Here is a 9,610-nt window from a genome sequence, read left to right on the forward strand (position 1 = left end):
GTGAGAGTATTTCTGGAAGAGATTAGCATTCGAATCAGTAGATTGAATGAAGAAGATCCCCCTTCACTACTGTAGATAGGCGTTATCCAGTCCCTGTGTGGGAAGCAAGGACTGTACAGAGTCCATTCTGGGGATGAATGGTGGCAGCAATAATGGCCATATCCACGTTCCAAGGGCCACAAGTCAGTTAGTGGTGCCATCAGTGGCAGCATTAGTGATATTAGCAGTGTAACCTATGGCGTCTACTGCTTAATGGCACCCACAGTGGCAGTGGTGTCTCCATCATATCAAAGATTTGGGGCAGTGTTCATGGTAGTTTGGCTAGTCTCCAGACCACAAAACTCTCATCATAAATCTTTTTCTACTTGTCAGCCAGAATTAGTTTTTGTTGCTTGTGGCTAAGGTATGGAACTGTTTGGTTGTTTGATTTAATACTCTTTCTTGACAATCTTGAAAGTATCAACCTTAAGCAGTCCCCCAATTTTTAGAAAAAAATATTGGTTTATGAGATTAAAATTTTTTTAGGAACTGCTGTTGTATACTATAATGCTAAGTTGTGCATTCAATGCTCTATGTAATGAACAGAGTTAAATTGACCTAAATAGAATTGATTTTCTCTTGAACTGGTATAGTGACTAAACATAATTCTGAATAACCATGTAGTCTGCATTATTTGGTTGTTAATATGGCCAAAATAACCAGACTGACTCTGGCAACAAGTCTGTCTTCTTAGCAAAGTAAACGGATTGACTATATGTCTATATAATTGCTTTCTCAGCAGTTGTGTAATGCTTGATCCAGTTAATATAGATCAGTTCCTCTTTTTAAGAGATTAAAACAGCATGTATTTAATTAACTAATTAATGTATTGATTCATTATATTTACTTACTGAGTATAGCTATAGGTTTTCACCAAGGAAAATGCCCAGCATACACAAAAGACACAAAGCTCATGATCTATTTGGGAGACAACAACAATTATAAACCAGTCTTTCCATCTCCCCTGCAACCACCCTCATGGCCAGCCACTGTCCAGACCTCTTGCCTGGACTTTTGTGATTACTCCCTAGCTAGTTTCTTTTCTTTCGCTCCTGCTCTTCTGCAATCCATTTTCCACTGAGGAACTAGGGAGTTCTTTTAAATCATTAATTGGGTGATATTACTGCCCTGCTATAAACCCTTCACAATTTTCCCAATATCCGTGGATTTAAATCTAAAGTTCTTAACACAGCCTAGAAGGCTCCATGTGATCTGCATATATATATATATATATATATATATATATATATATATTTTTTTTTTTTTTTTTTTTTTTTTTTTGAGACGACTCTTGTTCTGTCGCCCAGGCGGGATGGAGTGCAGTGGCGCGATCTCGGCTCACTGCAAGCTCCGCCTCCCGGGTTCACGCCATTCTCCTGCCTCAGCCTCCCGAGTAGCGGGAACTACAGGCGCTCGCCACCACGCCTGGCTAATTTTTTATATTTTTAGTAGAGACAGGGTTTCACCGTGTTAACCAGGATGATCTCGATCTCCTGACCTTGTGATCCGCCCACTTAGGCCTCCCAAAGTGCTGGGATTACAGGCATGAGCCACCGCGCCTGGCTGATCTGCTTATATTTCTAAGCTCTTCTCACTCCTGCTACTGACCCTCTGCCACCATGCCCAAACATACTGTCCTTTTAATTCCCAAAATGCTTTGCTCTCTCCCCTGACTCAAGGTCTTTAAACATATAATTCCTTCTGCCTGGAATGTTTTTCCTCCTACTGCTCATGTATCTAACCCCTACTTACACTTCCTGTTTTAAATATTACCTCCTAGGGGCCAACTCCTCCGACCACCCAACTTAAGACAGACCCTTGATTTACTCTCTCAAAGCACTTTGTAATTTTCCTTCATAACTCTTATTGCAATCTGGATTTTATATTTACATATTTGCTTACTTGTTCAATGTCTGTCTCCTCCATACAAGTCTGTAAACTTTAATAGGACAGGGACCATGCCTATTTTGTTCACCACCTAGCACCCGGCAAAGCACCTTGAATGGGTCCTTACATGTTTGTTAAATGAATGAATGAAGTAATGAGCAAACAAAGCAAAGTTTACACAATTCAGTGTAAAAAAAAATGATGTTCTGGGCAGGACATGCTGTGAAATCACAGAAAAGCAGGTGCTCAAAGGAGCCAGGTGGAAAGCCTAAGGAAAGGCTCCTGGAGGGTGCAGCTCTTCAGCTGGGCCCCAGAGAATGGGTGTATTAGTCCATTCTCCCACTGCTATAAAGATACTATCCAAGACTAGGTGATTCATAAAAGAAATAAGTTTAATTGACTCACAGTTCCGCATGGCTGAGGAGGCTTCAGGAAACATAATCATGGCAGAAGGTGAAGGGGAAGCAGGCACCTTCTTCACAAGGTGGCAGGAGAGAGAACTGCGAGCAGGGGAAATGCTAGACACTTTTAAAACCATCAGATCTCATGAGAACTCACTCACTCACTATCACAAAAACAGCATAAAGGAACCAACCCCATGATCCAATCACCTCCCTCCCTCAACAAATGGGGATTATGGGGATTACAATTCAAGATGAGATTTGGGTGGGGACACAGCCAAACCATATCAATTGGATAAGGTATGAATGCTCTCTGATTAGACCTGTGAAGAGAAGCTTCGTTGTTTAAGGAAACAGTGGGTCTAGGGAACAGCTGGCACTTAGCAGGAGACAGTGAGGGGGTCACACCCGGATGGCAGTGAGTAGTCAGCTTCCAGGTCTAGTGAGGCCATGAAGTGGACAATTTCTTATAAATTTTCTCTTGAGTAAACACATTTATGTGGTGAAACTACCCCGGACATAGATTGCCAGGTGTGCGGTGTGAGCACTCTGTCAGACACTGCAGGCTGGTTGCCTTGATTCCGTGCCAACTCCTTGCATGGCTGTGCATGCTGCATACCTGAGAATAGAAAGGCAAGACTACATCCTCAATCTCCCTTCAGCTCTGGTTCTGCACCTGATCTCAATTCTGTCAGGCAGATAGCCCCATGCCAGATTTGGGAGGAAGTGAACATCATGCATAAGAGGTCACACTGCTGCTGCTCCTGCTGCTGCTGCTGCTTTGTGCAAGCACAGTAGTCAGGACACTTGTTTTTCTGAGCATCTGTAGCAGAGGTCTCAGGGTCTAGTCATTAGTTCCCTGGTTATTGACAGACATGGTGCAAAGTATCCCTTTTTCTTACGCAGATCATGGCCAAGGTAAAGTGGCTCCAGGATGAAAAATCCCAGATCGTTCATGATTTTAGGTCTCTTGTAACTAATAAAAAAGTTTAAAAGTCACTTTAGGATGTAAACACAGCGTCAATTCAATCATTTAAATCTTTGGTCCCAGATAATAATTACAATTCTAAACTTGATTAAATTTAAAATCTTCTCCCCTCCCACAACTAAATTAGAGCCTGCTATAGGCTGGCCACTTGCAGAGATTAAAGAAGCTGGTTCTTCTTCTCTTCTCTGTTCTTCTTTCTCTAGCTTGCGTTCCAGCTATTGACCCCTCTGGGACTGGTGATCAAGGAGCTTAGAAAGGAAAGAGGATAGGAGAGTCCTCATTTGACTGGTAATATTGTAAGATGGCTTCACACTTGCTGGGTCTGGCAGATGTTTAAAGTTGACTCACTTTGGGGTTTCTTTAGAGAACTGAATATCACGGTGGTTTTTCACCTGCAGTTTCTCTGATCTGGGCAAATGCACACCATTCCTGCACTTCATGCCTCTTCAAGCTCTAGGGAATGGGGGACCCACTTCAGTTTCATTTTTGTGAGGGTCATTGTTCCTCTGATGTATGTAATGGAAAGGATCTAAGATGATTTCCATAGCGCCTCTCTATTGCATATCTACCACCCACATCCAGGCCACAGGAAACATTCACACATTCCTTGTTCCCAAAACTGTGTGAATACATATCCAACCCATTATAGCAGCAATCCTCCTTCACTCTGCCTCCAAAACAGCATGCCAGCCCACCTCCAGCCTCTAGATTTTCCAGGGTGAAAGTCAAGTCACATCCACACTGATTCTCTAACTGCAAAGGAAACAGCACACTATCCAAGTGATTCCAACGCAGCCTTACTTACTCAGCTTCTGCTAAGATTTGACACTCAACCCGCTTAGGGTAGGAGCTTGAGACTCACAGCACACCAGCATCTCTTTCTTTAAAATCCTTTCATACCAAATCCTCTCTCAATTACTACTCTGTCTACCATTTTATGTACTTAATATAATTGATTCATCTAATCAGTTCTCTGCCATCTCTGCCACCTACTTTGAAATTTCTGCCAAGTAATCTCTTACAACTCACTGATAGTATTGCTGTCTTAGTTAACACATAGATTTTAACATCTTTTTGCATTAACATTCATTTCTCCACCTCTAACTTCTGCCTTTCTGAGAGAACACTGCCCATTTTGGATACTCGTTCCATCTCCAGGATCCTGACTGGTGTACTCCAATCTTACTGTTTTATTCCTCTTACTATAATGATTAAGTCAGGAATTAAGGCATAAGCTACTCAGGAAAGATTTTCCCTTGGTCTGTGGTTGGCTCAGGTTGAGCATATGTCCTAAATTAGCACAGTTATATCAAAGGGCAGGAGGCTCCCTCTCTCTTTCACGTGGGATGAGAAAGGAAGTATGTCACCCTAGCTGCTGCCAGCAGCCTTCTTGTGATCACAAGGAAAATCATCCTGAGGACAACATCAACCTGTGGAGAAGGCAAAGCTGAGTCCTGGAGCCCTTACCATGGTATGGCTGGGATTGCTCTACCTTTAGACTTCATATTGTAAGAGAAAACAAACGTCCTTATTATTTTAGCCAATTTGACTGAGAGTTTCTGTAATCAGCAACCAGATGCTAGTGATTGTCCGTAGATTTCCTTGTCAGGTCACGAGCCCTGAACCATCACTGTGGAAATGGAAACATCTGGTAATTGAAAACACATGGTGATGGAAAACATTGTCATAGCACAGGTCAGTTGTTTCTTCCCTGGAACCGGAGGTAGAAGGACTTTCCAGGAACCATAGTACTCACTGTATTTTGGGGAAAGAAAAAGAGGTTAAGGAATGCCAGTAAGGCAAACACCCCCACTGAGACTATAGGCAAAAGATTTTAAAATAACTTTTGAAACCATTCTTTCTTGTGGGAAGGAGTTGGGCTGCAGTTTTAATGTCCCAGTTGCCTGGGACCTGATTAACAGCACCCGGACAATTAATGTTCTTTGAAATAATTGCTTCACTTACATTGCAGAGGTCCACTATGCTTGATTATTTCCTTCCCAGAGAAATTTTTAACCTAAATTTTATTAATTTATGAGGCTAGTGGATTTATTTTAAAACCCTGAAAATGTATTTTATAGGAAAATATGAAATCAACACATGACCTTCTGAGCTTCATTTTTAATTGAATAAATGTCTTTATGGGAAGTTGCTGCTTCCCGCCAACAAGGCTCTTTAGTTAACCATTTTGTTTTTATTCCATTAGAGTATTTAATTCTATCCATTTGGTAAATTACCTATGCACTCTATGTGTTCCTGGGAAGCTCAGGATCTTTTTGTGGATATTTTAGGTGTTCACTGTGAAAAAATATGATCACACTATAAGAAATGACACTTTGCTTCTAGCTACCTGTGCTTCTAGTGTCAATGATAAAAATAGACAGGAATGAGATGGAGGATGGCATCATCTGTGTTATTCACAGATGATGCCATCCTCCGTCTCATTAGAGAAATAATCAATAACTTTTGAATCTTGAATCTTCCCCCACACCTTCTACCACTTTAGTTCAGACTTTCATTATCTTGCTGGATTACTGCAAAGCTGCTGAAGTGGTATCTTAAATCTCCTGTCTTTCCTCTCTTCACTCCAGGCATCACACTATTTCCAGATAAATCTTAGAAATGGACAGCTTCCATTGTATCACTGTCTCACTCAAGAGCCTTCAGGGGCATTCCAGTGCTGGCCAAAATCAATGGCATGTGGGGCCCTGGTGATCCAGGGCCTTGCCATGCAACCCGAATACATTTTTACACTTTTCCCCTACTCTTTTCCTGCATGTATCCCATGATTCAATAAACTTGATTGTTTACTTTTTCCCAAATACCCCTCATACTCCCACTCCTCTAAGCTTTGGCTGTAATCTTTCTCTGATGTCATCTCCTCTAATGACTGTCTTCTGGTCTGTGCCTCCTGCCTGTGTACTCATTCTTCAGAGCTCATCTCCAGGTAAATAATTCCTTCCACACACATTTATCAAGCACTCACTATAGGCTAGGTACAGGAGATAAAAAGATCAGAAAGGCCTGTCTCTGCCTTCAAAGGGCACATCACCTAATAGGGCAGTTTTCTGAACTTAACTAATCAGAAGGATCACCAAATGGGAGTGGCAGCAGTCACTATTACACCTAGTGATTGAATAATAAAGAAAAAAATCCCATATCACTTGTTAAAGATAGTAAGAAATACTTTTTTCAAGAGGGACTATCACAATGAGGGTTTTACTATAGGGGAGAGAAATCAGGCTCAACAATGAATATAACAAGTTAAGATTTATAGCCAAGGAGCAGGGCAGTGGTCAGTGGGTGGAAAATTACTAAGAAGCATCAAGGATAGAGGGATTTTGGCTAGACTGATTCAACAGGATTCTTACTGACCAGGATGCTAAGATATTGGGGATGGGGCTGAGGAAGTTGGCCAGATATTGAGGGTGATCAGATACCAAGGGGATTTTCACTAAACTGACTCAGCAGTATTCTTGCTAAAACTGGACTAAGCAGGCCAAGAACAGAGCCAAAGGTCAGGGCCTAGTCAAAAAGAGGAATACAAAAGACCCTGACTCAAGTTTGGTCAAAAGAGAGGGTCTTTGTCAACACTAGCAAAACTTCTGCTTCCTGCTCCTCTGAGATCTTATGCTTCCCTTGTCTCGAGGTCTTAGTTCCAAGGGAAGAAATGCTTTTACCAGGAGACAGAACAATAATTCCAACGACTGGAAAGTTAACACTTCCATCTGGCCACTTTGTGCTCCTTATGCCTCTGAATCAACTGGCAAAGAAGGGAGCTACTGAAACGGTTTCAGTGATTGATCCAAGGGGAAATTGGACACAAAAGAAGTGAGGAAGAGTCTGTATGGAATACAGAAAATCCCTTAGTGTATATTCCCATACCCTGTAATTAAAGTCAATGGAAAACTACAACATTCCAATTCAGATGCGAATATTAACAGCCAGAATCTTCAGGAATGAAAGTTCAGGTCATTCCACCAGGTAAAGAACCACAGCCAGCTGAGGTGCTTGCTAACAGCTAAAGGAATAAGGAATGGGTAGCAGAAAATAGAGTTATAAATACCAGATACAACCATGTGACCAGTTTCAGAAATGAGTACTGTGACTGTTAAGAAAAAAATATTAATATAGATGTATGTGTATATAATATATATAATAAATATATATTTATTATGTATATTAAAATCACATAAGGGGCTTGCTAAAACACACAGATGCCTAGGCATCATCTCAGACCCACCAAATCTGAATCTTTAGAGAAAGCTAAGGAATCAGCATTTTTAATAAGCACCTCATGTACTTCCTATGAATAGATAAGTTCCTTGTATGCTATAATGATAAGATATTGGTATCATTGGTAAGTGCTATAAAAGATAAATACACAGTAAAGAGAAGGTAGTAGTCATCAAAAAGTTCATGGGAGAAATGATTAAGTTGCTTCCCTGGCAAAGAAGGAAGAAAGGGCATCCCACATAGAGGGAAGAATGTGTACACAAAGATAATTTTTTTTTTTGAGACAGAGTCTCACTCTATTGTCCAGGCTGGAGTGCAATGGCATGATCTCGGCTCACTGCAACCTCCACCTCCCAAGTTCAAGGGATTCTGCTGCCTCAGCCTCCCAAGTAGCTGGGATTACAGGCATATACCACCACGTCTAGCAAATTTTTGTATTTTTAGTAGAGATGGGGTTTCACCATGTTGGTCAGGCTGGTCTTCAACTCCTGACCTCAGGTGATCCACACACCTTGGCCTCCCAAAATGCTGGGATTACAGGTGGGAGCCACCACGCCCAGCCACAAAGAAAAATTTTTTTTAAAGTTTCAGCATATATCAAACAGTTTATATACTATCCTCTGCACTAAGAATTCTCCATATGTCATTTCACTTAATTCTTACAATAACTCTATGAAAGGAGTCCCAAATATTATTATCTACATTTTACAGGTGTGGAAATTGAAGGTAGTAATGAAGAGCATAGGATTCGAAGTCAGATAGACTTGTGTGTAAGTCTTACCTTCATCACTTAGCAGCTGTGTGACCACATTTATAGGCAGTTTATATTAGTATTGCTAAATTTTCCTTTGTCATTCTTCATCTTTGCCTCACTCATACAAGACCTCTTCACTTTCCCTCTCAACTTTTCCATTATCTAACACTATCTACCACTTAATCCAATAATATCAGTTTGTTTTCATCTTAGCTAGAGGTAATAGAGATAGAAAATAAGAGTGGCTTAAACAAAATAGAGGTTTATATGTTCTAAGCAGTCCAGTTCAGGTTTGGCAAATCTGCTCAGAAAAATCCTCAAGGAAACAGAGTTGAACTAATTTACACTCCCACCAACAGTGTAAAAGTTTTCCCATTTCTCCACAGCCTCACCAGCATCTGTTGTTTCCAGACTTTAATGATCACCATTCTAACTGGCGTGAGATGGTATCTCACTGTGGTTTTGGTTTGCATTTCTCTAATGACCAGTGATGATTAGCTTTTTTGAAGTCATCTCTTTCTCTCCCCCTTCTTTTCTAAATAAATCTGTGAACAGTAGCAATCTAGCATGTCACTCTAGTCAGAGTTCAACCCACGATGCCCAAACCGAGGTGTTAATCAGTATGATAGGAAACAGAGGCCCCCAACGCTGTGACCACACTAATGGTGCCACCCAATGGCTGTTGTGTAGGACTTCTCCACAAAATGGAAAAGTTGAAAGTAGTTGGAGAAAATGCACTATTCTGCCAGGAGGCAGTGTACCATTAGAATTGTTTATGTAACTATTTAAAATGTTCCACAAGTTATACTATTGTCGTACAGAGTGTATCTTCTTTGCTTTAATATAGGAAGTTTCTGTAATTTGGGCTCACTTTCTACAGTACAGAATTCATAAATACCCCAATTATTTATTGCACATAACTACATAAGTACAGAAATTCTTAACAAAATGAGAGCTTAGCACATTAGAAGTTCACAAGTTGCTTAAGTTTCTAAGACATGGATTATAAGATTTTAATTATGACTTACTACTCTTTGAGATGTTTCCTAAGTTAATTCAAAGAGGGGGTTCCCATCATCTTGATCCTGATATCTATTTTTTTGTTCAATAAATATTTATTGAGCACTTGCTATGAGCCATGCACTGAACTAGCAGATTCATGGCAGTGAGCAAGTCCAGGGTAATGCTGCCTTACTGGTGTGGGGGCTGACGTGGTGATCATAATGCCACCCACAATGGTTGCCCCCAAAATGGAAGATTCTGACAAAGTTAGATAAAAAGGAGTCATTTGGGGTTTTTGTTTGT

General features: G+C 40.7%; 2 annotated features.

The window, feature by feature from the left end:
* Positions 2,773-2,822: an enhancer, noted in NCBI's record as "active region_5389". NCBI's record gives its function as "activates an Ori minimal core promoter by ATAC-STARR-seq in GM12878 lymphoblastoid cells {active_cell/tissue: GM12878}" and the evidence as "EXISTENCE:reporter gene assay evidence [ECO:0000049][PMID:35858748]".
* Positions 3,658-3,727: a silencer, noted in NCBI's record as "silent region_3835". NCBI's record gives its function as "represses an Ori minimal core promoter by ATAC-STARR-seq in GM12878 lymphoblastoid cells {active_cell/tissue: GM12878}" and the evidence as "EXISTENCE:reporter gene assay evidence [ECO:0000049][PMID:35858748]".

The sequence above is a fragment of the Homo sapiens genome, chromosome 11, assembly GCF_000001405.40.
Source record: "Homo sapiens chromosome 11, GRCh38.p14 Primary Assembly".
In the NCBI taxonomy this organism is placed as follows: Eukaryota; Metazoa; Chordata; class Mammalia; order Primates; family Hominidae; genus Homo; species Homo sapiens.